The sequence below is a fragment of the Homo sapiens genome, chromosome 10 (genome assembly GCF_000001405.40).
Source record: "Homo sapiens chromosome 10, GRCh38.p14 Primary Assembly".
In the NCBI taxonomy this organism is placed as follows: Eukaryota; Metazoa; Chordata; class Mammalia; order Primates; family Hominidae; genus Homo; species Homo sapiens.
The window spans coordinates 37,132,609-37,155,282 of NC_000010.11; the positions used below are offsets into that span (position 1 = coordinate 37,132,609).

The 22,674-nt window shown below is 35.6% G+C and overlaps 1 protein-coding gene and 1 pseudogene across 7 annotated transcripts in view; both read left to right on the forward strand.

Annotated features, from left to right (window-relative positions):
- ANKRD30A (ankyrin repeat domain 30A) overlaps window positions 1-22,674 on the forward strand; it is a 140,297-nt gene that overhangs the window by 7,011 nt on the left and 110,612 nt on the right. For 6 of the 7 annotated variants that reach the window (XR_007062015.1, XR_930524.4, NM_052997.3 and 3 more), the window contains exons 5-13: window positions 1,308-1,445; window positions 3,999-4,063; window positions 9,110-9,682; window positions 12,387-12,448; window positions 14,762-14,849; window positions 17,043-17,071; window positions 17,169-17,241; window positions 19,452-19,513; window positions 20,964-21,054. Coding sequence is in view for 5 of the 7 variants with exons in the window: in NM_052997.3 (NP_443723.3) it covers window positions 1,308-1,445; window positions 3,999-4,063; window positions 9,110-9,682; window positions 12,387-12,448; window positions 14,762-14,849; window positions 17,043-17,071; window positions 17,169-17,241; window positions 19,452-19,513; window positions 20,964-21,054 (1,181 nt within the window). In the remaining 2 variants the exon portion in view is untranslated. The remainder of the gene's footprint in view (window positions 1-1,307; window positions 1,446-3,998; window positions 4,064-9,109; window positions 9,683-12,386; window positions 12,449-14,761; window positions 14,850-17,042; window positions 17,072-17,168; window positions 17,242-19,451; window positions 19,514-20,963; window positions 21,055-22,674) is intronic. The other variant, XM_047425992.1, reaches the window with a different exon arrangement.
- Window positions 2,629-2,735, forward strand: RNU6-811P (RNA, U6 small nuclear 811, pseudogene; annotated as a pseudogene).

The window sequence follows — 22,674 nt, forward strand, 5'->3', positions numbered from 1 at the left end:
AGTTTTAAGAAGTATGAACTTTTTTAGTTTACTTTATAAATGATTAACACTTTTATAGTATTTTTCTAACCTCTGTTTTTTATACACTTTTTAAAAAATGCAATATTTGCTGGGCACGGTAGCTGTTGCATGTTATCCCACCACTTTGGGAGGCCAAGGTGGTTGGATCACTTGAGGCCAGGAGTTTGAGACCAGCCTAACCAACATGGTGAAACCCCATTTCTACTAAAAATACAAAAATTAGCTGGGCATGATGGCACATGCCTGTAGTCCCAGCTACTCTGTGGGGGGCTGAGGCACGAGAATCGCTTGAACTTGGAGGCAGAGGTTGCAGTGAGCTGAGATCATGCCACCACACTCCAGCCTGGGTAATAGAGCGAGATTCTGTCTCAAAGAAAAAAAAAAAGAAAAATTAAATAGAAATAGGAGTTTAAAATCATTTTGTCTTTAGGATGACTGTTTGCTTGTTTTCTTTGAAGAATATTAATTTTAGGTTATCCCTACGTGACTATTAATTGCTATCACCAGATACTGTGAATTTATTATTATTTTTCCTTTTTTATTCATAGTGTATTTTTATTTTTAATTTGTATGGGTAGAGGAAGAAAGACATCTTTAATTGGATTAAAATTTTAGTTAATTAAGTTAAGCCATAGGTGAGTAATAAAGAGGAAAGAGATAGGCTTTTGATTCACACAAGACTGAGTTTAATTTCTAGCTTCCTCACTTGATAGGTGTGACCTTGCAAACGTTACTTAATACCAAGTATGATTTTCTATATGAAAAGGAGAATAATAATATGTCCTTTAAGGACTATTGTGTTGAAGTAACATTATGAATGTCAACAGCATTTAATTCAGGGTCTCATACATTCTTATCAGCATCATTAACTAAACTTAGCATGACTACTACTAATATCATTATTCCTAATATTGTTTTAAGCCTTCAGATTGCTGTCACTTGTCTGACTTCTAGCTGATTTTGAAGTATAAACTATTATGTCAGACTAAGGAAGAAATAGATAATTTTTCATTTAAATCTTTGCCTCTTTTAGATTAGTGAACAGAGCATAATTTCTTGCCTCTCAAAGGACTTTATATTAGCCAATTCTAGTGTGCCATATCCCCGTGGGACATGAATCTTTTTGCTCCTTCCTTTTAGCCTTGGTGGTGATTTACAAGGATAAACACTTGAGCACTCAAGATACTTATGTTTGTTGGTACATGTAAATGGTTAATTCTACAATGACAGGCACATATTAAATTGGTTCTGCTCATAATAATGAAGTTATCTCTTTGTTATTTTAGCACAGCCCTCATGCTTGCTGTATGTCATGGATCATCAGAGATAGTTGGCATGCTTCTTCAGCAAAATGTTGACGTCTTTGCTGCAGATATATGTGGAGTAACTGCAGAACATTATGCTGTTACTTGTGGATTTCATCAGTAAGTGTTTACGTTTAGAGGCTAGGTGAGATTTTATAGTTTGTTTCAGGTAGTTTTTGAATTACAGTGAGTTCACTTCATCAGCCAGAAACTAGGCAAAAAGCTAGACTAGTTAGAAGGAGTATTGGGTCCAGGATTCTTTATTTTAGGACTTTCAACAACTTTATCCCTAGGGATCCTAATGTTGTCTACTTGATTTTTCTAATTAGTTATTTGGGTCTTGAAGTGTCCACTTTAGCAGAAAACCTGATAGTGTCCTCTGGGGGCTGTCTTCCATATCTAAATACTTGAATTTTTTAAAAAAAATCTAAGGAGTTCCCTAAGTCCAAGGAAGACATTCTTTTTGTGTAAGTCAAAAGGATTGGGGGCAGAAATCACCATTCTCTTTATTTTGTTGTTTCCATTGATTCTGTTGTTGCATTGTTGCCACTGAAACTGCCCCTGCAGTCTAGTAATGATTGACCTTTGTGACCAGGATGCCCTTACTAACACAGATCCCTCAGTCTTCATGGTGATCCATATGTAGATTTCAAAGTTATTACAGTTTTTTAAAGTTCACATACATATTCTCAGCCATTGTTTCCAAAGTACCAGCACCCTGCTCTGGCAGCTAGAACTTTTAGCTTTAGCCACACACGTAGTGAGCAAATTGACCCTGCTCCTCCACTCAAAACCTGATGTGAAACCCACATCTTAGCCTGGACTTGGCCTAGACCTTCAGGGTAAGTTATCCTTTGAATGACTTTTTTCTATTTTCTCTTGCAAATATTAATTGTGATAGTTTAAAACTGTAAGTCAGGTTGAAGTAATGTTATAGGAAGAAATTAGAGACCCATTTTTATTTTGTTACCAGATCTATATCCCTGGCACTTTATATCCTGTGTAGTGCCATTTTGTAAGTAGCAGAAGGTCTTATCTTATTCCGTAAGATCCCTTGTCATCTTTCCAAATTTGTAGTGGGTTCCAACTTGTGGTTATACCCTCAAGTGATTCTTTTTTCCTAAAAGTAAAAATCTCCCATGCTACTTGCATCTCTATCTCAAGTTTTTAAAATATTTTCAAATTCTGCATTACCATGAAGCCATTCAATAGACTTCACTCTATCTCAAGTAAGTTGGTTAGATTTAACAGAGCTAAGCCTCATCCATCATTGATCAGTCTTCAGGTATAAAAGTAGGGATTTGTGCTGGCTTCAGTGGTACATATACTAAAATTGAAACAATGTTGAGAAGATCAGCATCGTCCCTGCACAAGGATGACACACAAATCTGTGAAGTGTTGCATATTTCTTGCAGTCCCCAAAAGGACATTTGACTACTTTCTAACTAGCTCCAAGGAAATGATGTGTCAAAGCAAAATGTGTGACACCAAGTATTGCAATTGTGATTTTCATACAAAAAATATTTATGTAAGGTGATGTATGAAATGAGATTTGGTGAGTAACACATAGGATCTTGTGTGCAGTATGCTGTTAGTAGGCATCTCAGAAATGAGAAAATACCAACTTGCATCTTCTTTGTGGAACTTACAAAAAACAGTGGTGGGTTTTGTCTTCCACAGCAGCTGGAAATGATCATAGTTACTAAGCATCATTCTATCAAAGATTTGTTAGTTCAGGTTTAAGGAGGTAAATAAAGAGTAGCAATAGTCCAAGCCAGATGCTGACATCTATTAGTTTTCTGCCCTTGGTGTGATTGATGAGCTCAGTAATAGAGGATAATCAGGTTATCCAATTTGATGAATTAATATATTTATAAATAAATTTCATTACAAATTATAAAATAGCTTAGATGCCTTGAATTACATGCCACAAAGAATAGAACATCTAATAACCAAAAGTAGGAATTAATAACAGAAAACTGCAACATTTGAACATTATAACCTATGAAGAAACACTTTTTTTAAAAAATTAATTTTTTGTAGAGACAGGGTCTCCCTATGTTGCCCAGGGTTGTCATGAACTTCTGGGCTCAAGCAATTCTCCTGTCTCAGCATCCCAAAGTGCTTGCATCACAGGCGTCAGGCACTGCACCAGGCCAACACATTGGGTTTTATTGGGATTTTAAAACAGTTTCAGCAATTAGGTTCAAGAACAAATTATTTCATTGCTTCACTATTTCTTTGAGCATTTTTAAAATGTTATCTTGTTAGATCTTTATAATAGTCTAGTGAAATAGGGCTCTAAAATCCTCATTTTTAGAAGACATTGAGCCTAAGAGAAGCAACTTGTTCAAGAAAAAATACCCGTTGGTAACCATGCTAGGACTTTTTCTGAGTTAGGGAGATTTTCCATTAAGCCAAGCTAACTCTAGTTAATTTACTGAGTTATACTGCCCTAAATGCATGAGTATTTCATCTTACTTTATTTCTTCTTTAATTAGAAGCTTAATAAGTTCATAGAGCTTACAAACTTAAAGTCTATGGAATAAGTAATGTTCTGATGTTAGTTCTGATATTGTCTGAAATGCTCTAAGAACTTAATAAATTTGGTAAATGTTTTTTATAAAGTCAGTGTTAAAATGGTAATTTTATTTATCACATTTTTATACATAGCATTCATGAACAAATTATGGAATATATACGAAAATTATCTAAAAATCATCAAAATACCAATCCAGGTAAGACTTCTGATAGTAAACTACCCTTGGTGGTGCTATCATAAGATTATGGAAGTGTTGATCACAAAAAGGTAATTCAAAAAGCAATGTGTAAATAGCATGTGTTTACATATATACATATATGTGGGTGTGGGTGTGTGTATGTGTGTGTGTGTGTGTGTATATATATATATATATATAGCTTTGATTTGATTTTTTGGTTTATAATTCAGAATTAGTTAAGAATTTAGTTGTAGGCAGTTTATAATCTCAAAAAATGTTACCTGAAAAAATATTTGTTTAATTATGGTCCCTAAATCCTATATAATACTTTTGTATAAATAACGCAAGTTTTAAGTTTGTATATTTTATGTTTCCTCAACTGTCCTAACAACTTAGGCTTGTTATAAAATGTATAACCCTTGGGGTGATTGATGAGCTCAGTAACAGGGGATGATCAGGTTATCCAATTTAATGAATTAATATATTTATAAATAAATTTTATTACAAATTATAAAGTAGCTTACATGCCCTGAATTACAAGCCACAAATAATTGAACATCTAATCATGAAAAGTAGGAATTAATAACAGAAGCCAAGATGGCTGAATAGGAACAGCTCCAGTCTACAGCTCCCAGCGTGAGCAACGCAGAAAGGGATGGGTGATTTCTGCATTTCCAACTGAGGTACCCGGTTCATCTCACTGGACAGTGTTGGAAAGTGGGCGCAGGACAGTGGGTGCAGCGCACTGAGCATGAGCCGAAGCAGGGCGAGGCATTGCCTCACCTGGGAAGCGCAAGGGGTCAGGGAATTCCCTTTCCTAGTCAAAGAAAGGGGTGACAGACGGCACCTGGAAAATCGGGTCACTCCCACCTTAATACTGTGCTTTTCCAATGGTCTTAGCAAACGGCACACCAGGAGATTATATCCCGAGCATGGCTCAGAGGGTCCTACCCCCATGGAACCTTGCTCATTGCTAGCACAGCAGTCTGAGATCAAACTGTAAGGTGACAGTGAGGTTGGGGGAGGGACGCTTACCATTGCCGAGGCTTGAGTAGGTAAACAAAGAGGCTGGGAAGCTCGAACTGGGTGGAGCCCACCGCAGCTCAAGGAGGCCTGCCTGCCTCTGTAGACTCCACCTCTGGGGGCAGGGCATTGCCAAACAAAAGGCAGCAGAATCTGCAGACTTAAATGTCCCTGTCTGACAGCTTTGAAGAGAGTAGTGGTTCTCGCAGCACCCAGCACGCAGCTGGAGATCTGAGAACGGACAGACTGCCTCCTCAAGTGGGTCCCAGACCCTCGAGTAGCCTAACTGGGAGGCACCCCCAAGTAGGGGCAGACTGACACCTCACACGCCCGGGTACTCCTCTGAGACAAAACTTCCACAGGAATGATCAGGCAGCAACATTTGCTGTTCACCAATATCCGCTCTTCTGCAGCCTCCACTGCTGATACCCAGGCAAACAGGGTCTGGAGTGGACCTCCAGCAAACTCCAACAGACGTGCAGCTGAGGATCCTGACTGTTAGAAGGAAAACTAACAAACAGAAAGGACATCCACACCAAAACCCCATCTGTACGTCACCATCATCAAAGACCAAAGGTAGATAAAACCACAAAGATGGGGAAAAAACAGAGCAGAAAAACTGGAAACTCTAAAAATCAGAGGGCCTCTCCTCCTCCAAAGGAACGCAGCTCCTCACCAGCAACAGAACAAAGCTGATGGAGAATGACTTTGGTGAGTTGAGAGAAGAAGGCTTCAGACGATCAAACTACTCTGAGCTAAAGGAGGAAGTTCGAACCCATGGCAAAGAAGTTAAAAACCTTGAAAAAAAATTAGATGAATGGCTAACTAGAATAACCAATGCAGAGAAGTCCTTAAAGGACCTGATGGAGCTGAAAACCAAGGCACGAGAACTATGTGACGAATGCACAAGCCTCAGTAGCCGATTCGATCAACTGGAAGAAAGGGTATCAGTGATTGAAGATCAAATGAATGAAATGAAGTGAGAAGAGAAGTTTAGAGGAAAAAGAATAAAAAGAAATGAACAAAGCCTCCAAGACATATGGGGCTATGTGAAAAGACCAAATCTACATCTGATTGGTGTACCTGAAAGTGACGGGGAGAATGGAACCAAGTTGGAAAACACTTTGCAGGATATTATCCAGGAGAACTTCCCCAATCTAGCAAGGCAGGCCAACATTCAAATTCAGGAAATACAGAGAACGCTGCAAAGATACTCCTTGAGAAGAGCAACTCCAAGACACATAATTGGCAGATTCACCAAAGTTGAAATGAGGAAAAAATGTCAAGGGCAGCCAGAGAGAAAGGTCGGGTTACCCACAAAGGGAAGCCCATCAGACTAACAGCTGATGTCTCGGCAGAAACGCTACAAGCCAGAAGAGAGTGGGGGCCAATATTCAACATTCTTAAAGAAAAGAATTTTCAACCCAGAATTTCATATCCAGCCAAACTAAGCTTCATAAGTGAAGGAGAAATAAAATACTTTACAGACAAGCAAATGCTGAGAGATTTTGTCAACAACATTTGAATATTATAACCTGCAGGGGTCTGTCCTGCAGATGGTTGAGACACATAACCAGATACTGATATTCAGTGAAAGAGCAGCAAGGATTCCGAGCTGATTACAGACACCAAGGAAGATGCTGTAAAGAGTCAGCAGCCACAGCCCTGGCTAGCTGGCCCTGTGGGCATTTATTAGTAAAGTTTTAATGACAAAAGCTTTGAGTCAACACACCCGTGGGTAATTAACCTGGTCATCCCCACCCTGGAGAGCCATCCTGCCCATGGGTGATCAAAGGTTAGTCTTAAGACCACATAAGTAAACAAGCTATTTAGATAAACTACTCTACCTTCCTTTGTATCCACTTTAAGCTATTTATGCAAGGTAAGAATTAGGCTGCTTTCAGCCATAACCATATCTTGAGACTTTTACAAAACCCTCTGGCCTTCCAAGAAGATTTGTGTCTATGTCCTATAACTTCATATTAAAATGTTTCTCACCAGCCTGACTGAACTCCCACAATAACCTATGAAGAAACATGGTTTTATTGATTGATTGATTGATTGATTGTAGAGACATGGTCTCCTTATTTTGCCCAGGTTGATATTGAACCTCTGGTCTCTATTTAATTTTTACAATAAATGGTTTGCATTTAGTAAATGAGAATTAATTACAGTTGAGTCTTGAGCAATATGAGAGTTAGGGTGCTGATCCCCCATGCAGCTGAAAATCTGCTTCATATGAAAATCTCTTTCTTTTGACTCCTCCAAAACTTTACTAGTAGTCCACTGTTGACCTGTAGCCTTCCTGAAAGCACAAACAGTCAATTAACTCATAGTTTCTATTTTATATGTACTATATAGTGTATTCTTACAATAAAGTGAGCTGGAGGAAAGAAACTTTTATAAGAAGGAAAAATATATTCACTTTTGAGTGGAAGTGAATTATTATACATAAAGATCTTAATTCTTATTGCCTTCATGTTGAGTAGTCTGATAAGGAGGAAGCAGAGGAGAGATTTGTCTTGCTATCTTGCAGTGGCAAAGGAAAAGAAAAATCTGTCTGTTAGTGGGCTCCTACAGTGAAAACCCATATTCAAGCATCAACTGTGTGACATAGTGACTCGTGTCACTAAAAAAGTAACTATCTTTAGAATTTGAAAACTTAATAATGCTTTCCTGGTGCCATAAACAAATGTCAACAAGAATTACAAAACTTAGCCAGGGTGCCTCAGTACCAATAGGAAATTATTTTCCAAAGATACCTACTGAATGCAGAAGTCAGAAAAGCAATTATTTGTTGAGAAGCGCAGGTTATGTTACATAGTCTTGTACCAACAAGGTCTCACTATTATCAACTTCATTTCCTCCAAGTTGAAACCAAATAAGATATATTTACTTCATTAAAACAAGATATGTTGTTCTATCTGCTGGATAATTAGGGTGTTAATAGTAATTTGTTACAACAAGATACTCTGTTTCTAATAGCCAAAATATTATCATTATAAATATTCAAATAGCTTAACTCTAGGCTCAACAAATTATAATGAAGTTAGAAAAATTTTTCATAATAACAAAAATGCTACTATGATACCTAAATGTGACATAATGCATTGTACAATATGAATTATATGGGCATATCTTTATTATATATTTATTAAAGGACCTCTGTAAGTTAGGTTTTGCAAGTTGCAGGAGACAAGGATAGAATACATATAGTTTGGGTCTTTAAGGTGCTCATAAAACAGTAGAGCTGTCCTTATTGAATTTCTGCATTTTTCCAACAGAATTTCGTAAAAAATGTTTTTTTATTCATTTATCCACTTGTCCACTTAACAAATAATTGTTAGGTATCTTTAAGGTACTAAGCATCTTCCTTGTTATTATATAATTGGTCATTTTATATTATTTACTACTTTATTAAGGTATTAAGCATTTTTCTTGTTATTATTGTCTTTTTTTATTATTTGTTACTTTATTTAGTGCTTACTCTGTGCCAGAACCCCTTTGGAAGCTTATAATTATTACTTATTATGTCATGTCGTTACTGTATTCAGCATGTGTCAGACCTTTTATATCCAAGGTGAAGAATTAAAGCTTTAAAAAGTTTGGTAGTGTCCAGGCACAGTGGCTCACTCCTGTAGTCCTAGCACTCTGGGAGGCCAAGGCAGATGTATTGCTTGAGCTCAGGAGTTTGAGACCAGCCTGACTAACATGGTGAAACCCGTCTCTACTAAATATGAAAAATTAGCTGGGTGATATGGCCCACGTCTGTAATCCCAGCTACTTGGGAGACTGAGGTAGGAGAATCGCTTGAGGTAGGAGAATTGCTTGAATTGCATTGAGCTGAGATCACACCACTGCACTCCAGCATGGGTGACTGAGTGAGACTCTGTCTCAAAAAAAAAAAAAAAAAAAAAGAGAAAAGAAAAGTTTGGTAGTATTTAAGGAAAGCATACAGAATGAGTAGAAGTTTGCCAGGTGAAGAGTCAGGAGGATGATATTTAGTAGAAGGAAAATTTAACCAGATTGTGTGTTTGGCAGAAGGAACATCTGCAGGAACACCTGATGAGGCTGCACCCTTGGCGGAAAGAACACCTGACACAGCTGAAAGCTTGGTGGAAAAAACACCTGATGAGGCTGCACCCTTGGTGGAAAGAACACCTGACACGGCTGAAAGCTTGGTGGAAAAAACACCTGATGAGGCTGCATCCTTGGTGGAGGGAACATCTGACAAAATTCAATGTTTGGAGAAAGCGACATCTGGAAAGTTCGAACAGTCAGCAGAAGAAACACCTAGGGAAATTACGAGTCCTGCAAAAGAAACATCTGAGAAATTTACGTGGCCAGCAAAAGGAAGACCTAGGAAGATCGCATGGGAGAAAAAAGAAGACACACCTAGGGAAATTATGAGTCCCGCAAAAGAAACATCTGAGAAATTTACGTGGGCAGCAAAAGGAAGACCTAGGAAGATCGCATGGGAGAAAAAAGAAACACCTGTAAAGACTGGATGCGTGGCAAGAGTAACATCTAATAAAACTAAAGTTTTGGAAAAAGGAAGATCTAAGATGATTGCATGTCCTACAAAAGAATCATCTACAAAAGCAAGTGCCAATGGTAAGATGCTAGAGCGAACTTTGTAAGGTTTATTGGCACTTCAGGTTCCCTAGTGAAAAAAGTGTGATATGGGAGTAGTTGGGAATGACTTGAATATCTAAATAAGGCGAGCTTAGGCAACACTTTTTAATAGTATAGGAATAAGTAGCTCTTATTCTGTAGGTCCTGGAAAAATTCTCACAATTCTTCTGGCCGTAAATGCTAGATGAACTAACTAACAATGGCTAAAACCATAGGAACCAAAGTTGTTTGGTGGTACAGGGATATCATAGGATCACACTTTTTTTTTTTTTTTTTTTTTTTTTTTTTTGTGAGACAGAGTCTCGAACTGTCCCCTGGGCTGGAGTGCAATGGCACGAGTGATCTCGGCTGACTACAACCTCCGCCTCCCAGGTTCATGTGATTATCCTGCCTTAGCCTCCCAAGTAGCTAGGATTACACGTGCCCACCACCACACCTGGATAATTTTTTGTATTTTTAGTAGAGATAGGGTTTCACTATATTGACCAGACTCAAACTCCTGACCTCATGATATGCCTGCCTTGGCCTCCAAAAGTGCTGGGAATTCAGGTGTGAACCACTGTGCCCAGCCAGGATCCCACTTATGGTTGGCTAGTTAGCAACAGCTCCAATAATCATGCTCTCTCAAGACAATATTTAAAGGCTGGAAGGGCTGCTTTTGTTCACATGTTTCTTTTAAATAGGGAGAAAACTTGGAAGCTTGCAGTAATCTTCCTGTAACATTTTATTGGCTGGATTACACCACATGCCCATATCTAAACCAGTCACTAGGAAAGCAAATGTAATTACTGTGATTAGCTTAGAATAATGATTTCTCTTTTTGAGATGGGATTGGGGTAATGGAATACTGAATATCTAAAGAAACTTGTGTTTCTGCAGCAAGAAAGAAAAAATAATGCTTATGCATAGGAAGCCAGCAATGTTTTCTGCAGGGATTCATTGGAAAATTTTGAGCAGGGGAGTCACAAGATTAGATTTGAGTATCAGGGCATACTGGTTATGGTATAAGGCAGAGATTGGCAAACTTTTCCTGTAAAGTGACAGATAGGGAATATGTTAGGCCGCTGGGCATGGTGGCTCACACCTGTAATCCCAGCACTTTGGGAGGCTGAAGCATGCGGATCACCAGGTCAGGAGTTCGAGAACAGTCTGGCCAACATGGTGAAACCTCATCTTTACTAAAAATACAGAAAGTAGCCAGGTGTGGCGGCATGCACCTGTAATCCCAGCTACCTAGGAGGCTGAGGCAGGAGAATCACTTGAACCCAGGAGGCAGAGGTTGCAGTGAGCTGAGATCGTACCACTACACTCTAGCCTGTGTGACAGAGCAACATTCCATCTAAAAAAAGAAAAAAAAATGTTAGGCCATGTGGTCTCTATAACAGCTATTGAACTCTGCATTGTAGGGTGAAAGCAGTCATAGATAATGTGTGAGCAAACAGGCAAGATTGTATTCCAATAAAACTTTGTATAAAAAGCCATTTGGTAAGCTGAATTTGGCCTGTGGCCTATAGTTTGCTGGCCCTTCATATAGAAGAAAGATGGAGGGTAATTACATAAAAAGATTTAAAGACGAAACTTTTGTAGTAGTTCATGCTATAGTCTTTTTTTTTTTTTTTTGTCACCAATCTGTGGCCTAGTATCAATCTATTATGAAAGTTTGACCCATCCAGGGTAAAAAGAGTCAAGTTCAGAAGCTCAATTTACACATTTAAATACGTAGGTCTTTCTTTGCCGTTATTTTATTTTGATTTCTTTTACTGAATTTTTTTTAACTTAAAAATAACCGTAGTAATTGGTAGGGTTTCTTTGTCCCTGTGAAAGCCATCAGTTAAGGGGCTGTGTCTAACTAGGAAATTTGAGTGAATTCACTTCAGAAGAATTTAGAATATTTCTGTTATATATTTGTTTTCTGTCTCATGGCTGTCAGTATTCCTTGGGCCTTGCATGGACCTTGATTTAATTCTATGAAATGTGGGAAATTTAGTTACTTAAGGCAATTGTTTTTCCTATAAATTTTTAATGTTTCTCCAAGGAGGCACAAGTTGATTCTGAAGGTATTGTTGCATTAAGGAAAGACTATCTCATTGTAATTAAAGCAGTTTTTAATTTATATGCAATACAAGTTCTTTAAGCTTATTTATCTAAAACACATACACACCAAATATACTGTCATGGCATATTGAAATTTAAAAGGGTTGGACATATATTTTGCTAATATCAAAAAGTTAATATTTTGAAGCATCTTATTTATTGATAAATAATCTTTTTTGAAGAACCATATAATAAAGATTAGTCAATCAAACTACATAATACTAAAAAATAAAAGAAAGTAATGAGAGCTGACAGGTAATTAAAGTTATCTGAGTGAACAGCAAATATCTGACATAGTATGCTTCACGGGAGAAGAGGATAGGACTTCTTTTGTGAAGAAATAATTAATACAAATTAATCAAATTTTTAATTTTTTTGCATTCTAATGAATATAAAATTAATTTTTACATTTTTAAGATTGCAGCTCTAACCATTTGACTATAGAAGTGGTTGTGGTTATCTACCAATAGAATATACAGGCTATAGAAGTAAGTCCACAGATTCATGAATGAAAATAGATTTGTATATGTTTTAAAAATTTATAATAAGAAATGTTATCATGAATATATCTGTGATTAACTTTTTATAGATCAGAGGTTCCCATCAGAATCCAAACAAGAGGAAGATGAAGAATATTCTTGTGATTCTCGGGTATTGTGTATTATTGATGTTATTCTCTAAAAATATTAATATTGAGTGATGTGAAAATATAAAGTCAGAGGCTTTGACTTGGTTTTCTTACCACTGCCTATGCTCAGAAGAAATTCTGATATTTCTAAAAACATACTTGGCTGGGCACGGTGACTCATGCCTGTAATCCCAGCACTTCGGAAGGCCCGAGGTGGGAGGATCACCTGAGTTCAGGAGTTTGAGACCAGCCTGGCTAATATGGTGAAACCCTGTCTGTACTAAAAATACAAAATTAGTTGGGTGTGGTGGCATACCCCTGTAATCCCAGCTACTGAGGAGGCTGAGGCAGGAGAATCACTTGAACCCGGGAGGTGGAGGTTGCAGTGAGCTGAGATCGTGCCATTGCACTCAGATCGGGCCATTGCACTCCAGTCTGGGTGACAGAGTGAGACTCTGTCTCCAAAAAAAGAAATACTTAAAAAAAAATGTGTGCTGAGTAGATTACTGCTTGGTAGTGAAATTCTGCTAATTTTCAGAATTAGTTTCAGACACTTGTGTAGTACAGTGTAAAAAATAAGGCTTAGAATTCACCAGTAATTCACATGAGTTCTGAGGTGAAATTTGATCAAAAGCTAAAGAATTACTCCGAGTTCATCTTTGGGCAATTATATGACTCAGTGGTATATCTAGACGTACAAAAATTTTAATTGGATTCATAGAAAAACAGTTTAAGCTGCAGTTTTGTACAACTTGAAACATAAAAGATAATGCTTGGATTGGAAATTATTGACGTATCTGTATTGTCCAGTATAGATCTGAAGGAACATTTCAGGAGACAAACATGCATAAAGAATAGGAAACCAGTGGGACTATAATAACAACAATTTGGTTGAGTAGTATTTTAAAAAGTAGAAATTATTTTTACAGATAGAACTCTTTGAGTCCGTTTGTGGTAGCCATGCTTATAGCAACATAAGTATCAAATAATAGTGATATAGTCCAAGGTCACAACTGTGGAAAGACACAGGAAGTGCCTGACCTCTTAGATCCAAGCCCCTGCTGCACAGTGGTAACAGAAATGAGATGACAACAGACAAGCAGACTTTATCTAATTTGTCCATAGACAAAAAAAGACTTTCTAATACTTGATTGCTTTCATTTAAACATAACATAAATATAAGTTTTCCTTACTACTTTTTCATTTTATTCAAGTACTTTTTCCATCAGCAGATATTTTATCAAAAACATGTTGATTATTTTAAGCCCATTTACCTAAATAAAGCAGCTTCTACAATGTTCTGAGTGCACTTTATATGACTTATTCTTAACATTCTTTTCATGCCATGCATCATTTTTAACACTAAATAATTCTATTATCATGAATAATTTCAGTGTTTAATGCAGTATGTATTTGCGGCAGCGCTCCTCTGGAGGGGGCACCAGCTGCAGGGAGTCTGTCCCTTGCAGACCCCTGACCCGGGGACAGATGAATAAAGTACATTGACACACAGATATTCTTCTCTGCCAGTCCAGCTGAGGGCGTCTGAGTGGCTTACAGACTCCCTGTTGAGTTCTGTAAACAGTTGTGACTATGGCCCTGATCAGCTAGTCAGACTCGCATTTATTCAGTATGATTAATTAACAAAAGCTTGAGTCAATACCCTTAGAGGGTAATTGACATTGTGGACTTCCTGGGGTAGTCCTGAGTAAAAAGCACTTAAGCACCTGTGGTACATCAAAGGTGAGTCTTAAGATTATATGAGTAAACAAGCTAGCTAGGTAAGCTACTCTGCCTTCCTTTATGACTACTTTAATTTGTTTAACTAAAGGTAAAGATCAGGTTGCCTTCAACCATATCTATTACCAAAGTTATGCAAACTTCTCGGCCTTCCAAGAAGATTTGTGTCTATTTATATAACTACCTCTAATATTTTTTCCACCAGTCTGATTGAACCCCAACATGTGTTATGGCAGGTAGCAAGTGTATTGTACTTGTTTGATGTGCCTTCTTGATTTTTGGTGAGGAAGATAAAGTAAGATATTTTTAAGTGAGCTACTTTTTGAAATATGCAGATGAGTGAAAATTTTTGTCAATGTTATTTATTTTTCATGCTCAGTAACCGAGTCAATAGCTGCATGAAGATAACAGATAAGTTTTGATATAGATAGCATGTGTGAGGGTTTCTATCAAAATGTCATGATTTTCAATATGTGCCTATCCTCAAATCAAATTGCCTTTGAAGTCAGAAATTGAGTTTAAAAAATATTTTAATTAGGAATTTTCATGCTTATGATTTTAAAACTGAAATTATCTATTGATACTACTTTTAACAGAGTCTCTTTGAGAGTTCTGCAAAGATTCAAGTGTGTATACCTGAGTCTATATATCAAAAAGTAATGGAGATAAATAGAGAAGTAGAAGGTAAGAACGATTTTTTATTTGAAAAGTCTTTTAACCATATGTTTGTCTAAATGCATGATGACTGATATACTCTAATAGCCAAATAAAATTACCCACTAAATACATAACATCGAAAAGAGAGGAGTAAAATGATAAGTTATGTATCTTTTCAGGTGTTGGCAACAGGAATATGTAGAGAGTGCAAAAAAAACAACCGAATTATTTGTTTGAATCCAAGATACTCTAGGACATGACGAAAGTCAGGAAACAAGTAAGGGAAAAGGAGTAAAAAGGGAATGAAGACTAAAGAAGGCAGAGAGAGTACAGGGAGTTCATGAAGGAACAAGAAGCAGGTTTATATAATGGAGGTGGCAAAATAAAATATTTTTTAGAAAAGATAGACCATGCTTAGAAAGATGGCAAGAATATAAAATGATCTTCCAGTACCAAAACTTGTCCGAAAATTATAGCTAAAGTTTTCTCACTTTTCCTGTCTTTCTCACTACTGGGAAGGCATTAGGAATGGAATTATCTGAGCATGCAGAATTGTGTTTTATTTGCAATAGGTGAGTATTAACAAAAATGCATAGGTGTGCATCTATAAAATTTATCATATACACTCAGTATAGACAAATACTTATGAAACATTAGAAAATCAGCTGAATACCTTGTTAATACACAGTATCATTCAGCATAATTGAGTTTCTAAATTTTAATAAGTTCTCAGGCGATGCTGATACCAGTGGTACTTGGAGCTCATTCTGAGTAGCAAGAGGAGAGGCCATTCATGGGAAAAATGTGGAAGAAGAGCAATTGGATAAAAGGATAAGACAAAACAGGGTCAAGAGAAAGCATTATATTCCTTTTATTTCTGAGTATGCTTTTAGCCAGAGAAGAAGAATAAAAAGATAAAGAAACAAATTATAAATTTAAGTTACTGTCACTAAACAAGGAGAAAGGAAGTGATGGAAAAATAAATTTGAAACAGTGTTGGATGGAAAAAATCAGTTCTAGGAAGTTAGAGTTTTTTTAAATTTTTTTAAAAATTTTTTTAGCAGAGGCATTCTAGGCAGGTAACGGGACAAACAAGAGAGAAGGTAGGTAGGTAATTTTGGAGACTCTGAGAAGGACAGTTCAGTGAACTCGCTTCAGATGTGTTTAGATTATTTGCACTCCAGAAAGTAAATTATGGACACTCCAGAGACTACCAGAAGCAGGAGTCTTACTAGAATTGGAGAAACCAAAGTGACTCATTAGGTTTCTATGTTACAATCAGGCATGACAAATATATATTTGGTTGATGTTAGCTATTCAAGTGAGATATATTTGAAACTAAGAACATTGGCTTTATATTTTAAGAAAGTGAGTTGTTTTGGTAAAATTGTCATTCCACAAAAATTTATTATAGACTAATGATACGCCAAATCAGATGAATTGTAGGAGCTAAAAAAATACTGAATTTATACTTGAATAATAAGATTGCTTTTTAAAATAAATATTGTGGTGACTTTATAATATAAAAAGTTATTTATGTTTAATACATCTATTGCAATTAATTTTTATATACATATGTCAATATTGAAAGCTTATTATAGATTATTTCCATGATGAGTTTTATACATCATCTTGCATGAGTGGATCAAGAAGCATTCAGATGTATAAACTGGAGGATACAGAAATGTAGGCATATTATTACACCATATGGTTATGGAAAACAATGAATATTTATATTTAGTATTATGAACTAAGTATATATCCAAGCTGATCAATTCATAACACTTCACTGATGAGATGTCAATTCTACATTCAGCTGAACTCTCATCATAACTATGTACTTTTCCAAAGATAGGCCATATTAAAGAACATGATGAATAGAATAACATAAATGATTCTAATATGTTTCATTAAGTACGTGGTGTAGCATTCCATGTTCAGCTTTGACATTTATTTTCTCATATCAACCCTTTTTACACGTGAAACACAATCTCGCTTTGAAGTCTTAACTGCACGATCTATGAAACCTATATTTATATTTTCTTCAGTGTATTCCTGTCGTGTGTGTGTCCTAAACAAACCAAAAGAAAACTTTCCAAATCTAAAGTATTCGTTCTCAAAGTCGACCAAGAGGAATCAGTTACATACTATGACTGCATTCATTTGGTTGGCATTGTCATACTTACTTATGATTGATGATAAATCTCTTTTGCTTTTTAGAGCCTCCTAAGAAGCCATCTGCCTTCAAGGTATTTAGTTTTATTATTTCATTTTGAATGACTTATTAATTATGTATTTGTGAAGTATACATTCTTTATTAATCATTTTGCTTCCAACCCCATTTAGCCTGCCATTGAAATGCAAAACTCTGTTCCAAATAAAGCCTTTGAATTGAAGAATGAACAAACATTGAGAGCAGGTAAATTTTTCAATTTAACTATGCAAAGACGAATATTTCAATATTGGACATTTTGATGGTCTTTCTATCCCCAATGCTTTATTTTTTTCAACTTTGATGAAAACATTTGATCTAGATAATGCCAATACTGGTATTGATGTTTGAAAACCTGATATTACAAGAACAGTAATTTTTAATATATTTTTTAAAAATGTAGCCTTAATCTCAGATGTTTCTACTTTTGTATCCCGAAACTGTAATGTTTACTATTTTGAACTTCTGTAATTCTTAAAGATTCAAGTAGGTGAATTTTGAAACTCTTAACTTCTTTTAGTTCTTCGAAGCTTGATTCAAATTCCACTGTTTACTTCGGGGATCACGTCTTTTACTGATATAACACTTGTGTTTTAATATTAATTACCTTGTTTCCAGTGTTGTCACTTTGGGAATCCTAAGAAAATCAGTAACTCGGATTAGTGAACTCTGTGTGTTTGTGTGTGTGTGTGTCTGCGTGTGTTCCTGTGTGTGTCTGTTTATGTGTTTGGTACCTTTACCTTGTAAAGATGAGGAAAGTAATTAGTCATTTCTTTGTGAATATTTGATAAGCACACTTTTTCCTAAAACTGTAATTCTGAAGCATTTGGGTTTAGAGTCTTTTTACACTAACCTACTTTTTAAAACTATTCTTATGCATGTTTAAACATTTTACAACATGTGTGCGTGGTCATATTTAATATGTACAATTTTTTTCAACTTCTAATGCATACATGGTTGTACGGTGTAATGTTCAGAAACATTCTTTTTTGATCAGCATCATAATTTTTAGTGACATCCATAAAGGACACAATTAACTGTGTTTTTTAATATTAGGTTGTTTATAAAATTCCATTGTATGACAGTACCATAGTTAATTGCACAATTTTTATGCTGATAAGTAATAAATAAAAATGAAAACATTCAGATTTCAGACTCTTTCAAAAGTTAGTGTTATCTGCTGATTTTTTAGGTATTAGAAACTAAAAGTAAAATATTTAAAGTATTTCCTTGTGCAATCATACACTCCACTAAGAATTTGAACTGTGCCCCACAGCTTCTTAGAGCTATGGTGTGGCAACACGTTAGATCTCTGAAACGATCCAGGGTACGCTTCTAAAAATGAGTGAACATGGTGACTTACCAAAGTGTGATTTGAGTTTCTTGTACCCTCTGCATGAAATGTGAACATTAGGGATGCTAAGATCAGAAGTTAAACTTACTTTTGAAAACCAGGTATACAGTTGATGGATGTCAAATGAGAAACGTATGCATAGTGATGAAACGGTCTTTTAAGTTTTAGTTGTGCATGTTTGCTTTTTTTCCTCAACCTGATTCAAATAGTTGTAATTTGTACTTTGTACTGATAAAGAAAACTGGACATTATTTTTGGTATAAATTCATTTTCTGTCTCATGTTCCTGAGAACTCGTCAAGTCTTGAGTGGGCCTTGATTTTATCCTATAACATGTGGGAACGTTAGATTACTTAAGGCAATTATATTTTCCTATACATTTCTGATGTTTCTCCAAGGTGTCACAAACTGACTCTGAAGATATTGTTGCATTAGGGAAGAAGTATGTCATTGTAATTGAAGCAGTTGTTAATTTATATTCAATAAAAGTTTTTAAGCTTATCTTCCTAAAACATATACACACCCAAAACACACCCAATACACTGTCATAGAATATTGAAATGTAAAAGGATTGGACATATAGTTGACTAACATCAAAAAGTTAATACTCCTAAAAAATCTTATTCATTGATAAATCATCTTTGTGGAAGAACTGTGTAATAGAGATTGCTGAGTCAATCAAACTAAGTAATACTACCAAATATAAATTTACAAAGAAAAGAGAGATGATAGGTAATTAAAGTTTTCTGAATGAACAGCAAATATAGGACATACTGTGTTTCAGAGGAGAAGAGGATATGACTGCTTTATGAAGAAATAATCCATACAAGTTAATCAAATTTCTATTTTTCTGCATTGTAATGAAATAATGTTAATTTTCAGACTTTTTAGATTTCAATTCTAATGGAATGACTATAGAAGTAGTTATTGTAATCGACAAAAAGAATATACGGGCCACAGAGGAAAAACCACAGATTCGTGAATGAAAGTAGATTTGTATATGTTTTTAAAATTTATAGTAGAGAAATGTTGTCATGAATGTTTCTGTGATTAACCTTTTATAGATCCGATGTTCCCACCAGAATCCAAACAAAAGGACTATGAAGAAAATTCTTGGGATTCTGAGGTACTATGTGTTATTGATTTTTTTTTAATATTAGTATTGCATGATATGAAAACATAAAGGCAGAGGCTTAGGCTTTATTTTCTCGCCTCTTCATATGTCACCCCGAAATTATTTTTGATATTTTTCAGAATATGCTTAATGGAGAATCTATGTGCTAAGTAGATTACTGCTTCATAGTGAAATTCTGGGAATTTGTACGATTAATTTAAGAAGCCAAAGTGGTATAGTGTAAAAACTAAGGCTTAGAATTCACTAGAAATTCACATGGGATCTGAAGTACATTTGTCTAAAAGTGAAAGAATTACACTGATTCCAGCTATGGGCAAATATATGATTCTGTCTTACATCTAGATGTACAAAAGTTCTAATTGGATGCATAGAGAGACATTTTAAACTGCAGTATTGTAAAAGCTGGGACCTGAAAAGTTAATGCCTGGGACTTGAATGTATTGACATATGTTTATTGTTCAGTATAGATCTGAAGGAACATTTCAGCAGAAAGAAAAGCATGAGGAATAGGAAACCTTGTGGGAGTATAATAACAAGAGTATTGGTTGAGTAGTCTTTTGAAAAATATAAATTATATTTTCACAAATAGAACTCCTTGAGTCCTCTTATGGCAGTCAAGCTGCAGCAGCATGAGCGTCAAATAATAGTGATGTATTTTAAGGTCACAACTGTGGAAAGACATGGGAAGTATCTGACCTCTTAGAAACAAGCAGCTGCTGCCTGGTGGTAACAGCAAAAGGTGGAAGTCAATAGGTAGATTTTATCTGATATTTTATTAGACAAAAAGACTTTAACACTTGTTTGCTTTCATTTAGATGTGACGTAATTTTTTTCTTACTGCATTTACATTCTATTCAAGCACTTTTTCTATCACCATAAATTTTGTCTAAAACATGTTGCTTATTTTAAGCCCCTGTTTACCGAAAGGAAGCAGCTTTTTCATATTCTGTGCATACATTCTGTGACAGACTCTAAAAGTTCTCTTCATGACATGCATCATTTTTAACACTAAACAGTTCTGTGATCATGAATATTTTAAATGTTTAATGCTGTATGTGTCCTGGCAAGTAGCAAATGTGTTGTATTTTGTTTGAAATGTCTTATTTATTTTTGATGAGGACTAGAACATAAGTTAGATATTTTTAAGAGAGATACTTTTTGAAATATGCACGAGTGAATTTTTTTATCAAGGTGATTTGTTTTTCCTGCTCAGTCACTGAGTTAATGGCCACATGAATGTAAAGATCAGCTTGATGTAGAGAGGGTTGTGTGAGGTTTTCTATCAAAATGTGTTGGTTTTCTATATGTATCTGCACTTAAGTCGAATTGTTTGCAAAGGAGGAAATTGTGTTTTTAAAAAAGAATTTAATTAGGAAATTTTGATACTCTTCATTACTAGGATTTATCCATTGAAATTATTTATTGCTATTACTTTTAACAGAGTCTCTGTGAGACTGTTTCACAGAAGGATGTGTGTTTACCCAAGGCTACACATCAAAAAGAAATAGATAAAATAAATGGAAAATTAGAAGGTAAGAACCGTTTTTTATTTAAAAATCAGTTGACCGAATATTTCTCTAAACTGATGAGGAGGGATATCCTCTAGTAGCTGAAGAAAATTACCTCCTAAATGCAAACCATGGAAAAAAAGAGAAGTGCAATGGTCGTAAGTTGTATGTCTCATCAGGTGTTGGCAACAGACTATATTGAGAGTGCTGAAAAGGAGCTGAATTATTAGTTTGAATTCAAGATATTGCAAGACCTGAGGAAAATGAGAAAATAAGAAAGAAGAATGTAGTAATAGAGTAACTGAAGACTGAGAAAGACAGAACGTACAGAGAGTACATGAAGGAACAAGAAGCAGGTTTATATAGTGGAGGATGATAAAATGAAATGATTCTTTAGGAAAAGATTGGGTATTGTTAGAAATTTGGGAAGAATATAAAGTGACCTTCTAGTATCAAAATTTACCAGAGAATTACAGCAAAAATATTCTGACTCTTAATGTCTTTCTCACTGGTGGGAAGCCATTAGGGATGGAAGCACCTGACCATGGAGAGCTGTGTTCTATTTGCAATAGGTGAGAATAAGCATATCTGCATGGCCACACATGTATATAATTTGTCATATACACTCCGTATAGACCAGAAGTTTTCAAACTTTAGAAAATCAGCTGAAAACCTTGTTAACAATTCACACTGAGATTCAGCCGACTTGGGATTCTGCATTTTTAAAAAGTTCTCAGGTGATGCTGATGCTGGTGGTCCTTGGACCTTGCTCTGGGTAGCAAGAGGAGAGGCCTTTTGTGGGAAAAATGTGGAAGAACAATTGGATAGAAGGTCAAGACAGAAAAGGGTCAGGAGAGAGCAGTATGGTGTTCTCAATTTTGAGGATGTTTTTAGTCAGGGGAGAAGAAGAAAGGGGCAATGCAATAGAAATTATAGATGGAAGATACTACCACTAAACAAAAGGAAAGAGTGGGAAAAAAATTTTCACAGGTGTTGAATGGGAAGAACCAAGAGCACAAGTCTAGAGATTATTTTTGCTAAAGCAGAGAGATTGTGAGGCAGGAAGCAGGGGACAAGAGAGAAGCCAGCTAGATGATTTTGGATTTTCTATGAATGAAAATGGAGTGAGCTCACTTCAGAAGCATTTAGAAAAGTTTTACTGCAGAATGCTAGAGTGTGGGTGCTCTGGAGACTACTGGAATCATGAGGATTACTAGAATTGGACTAAACCTCAGTGACTCATTAATTTTCTTTATTACTATGAGGCATCAAATATATTTATGTATATATGTATGTATGTATGTTGTTGATATTCACAATTTGAATAAGATATACTTGAATGTAAGAACCTTGGCTTTATTTTTAAGGAAGCAAATTGTGTTGGTAAAATTGCCATTTTATAAAACCTCATTAGCAAATAACATGATACACGAAACCAGACTAATTTTAAAAACCATAAAATTCTGAATTTATGACTTGAATACTTAAATTGTTGTTATTCATAGGTATTTTACTGATTTTAACATAGAAAATGTTATTAATATTTAAAAGTCTATTGCAACTAAATTTAAATGAAATACAGCAATATTGAAAGCTTATTAAATTTGCTATTCCTGATGAAGTTTGTACATCTTCCTCCATGAG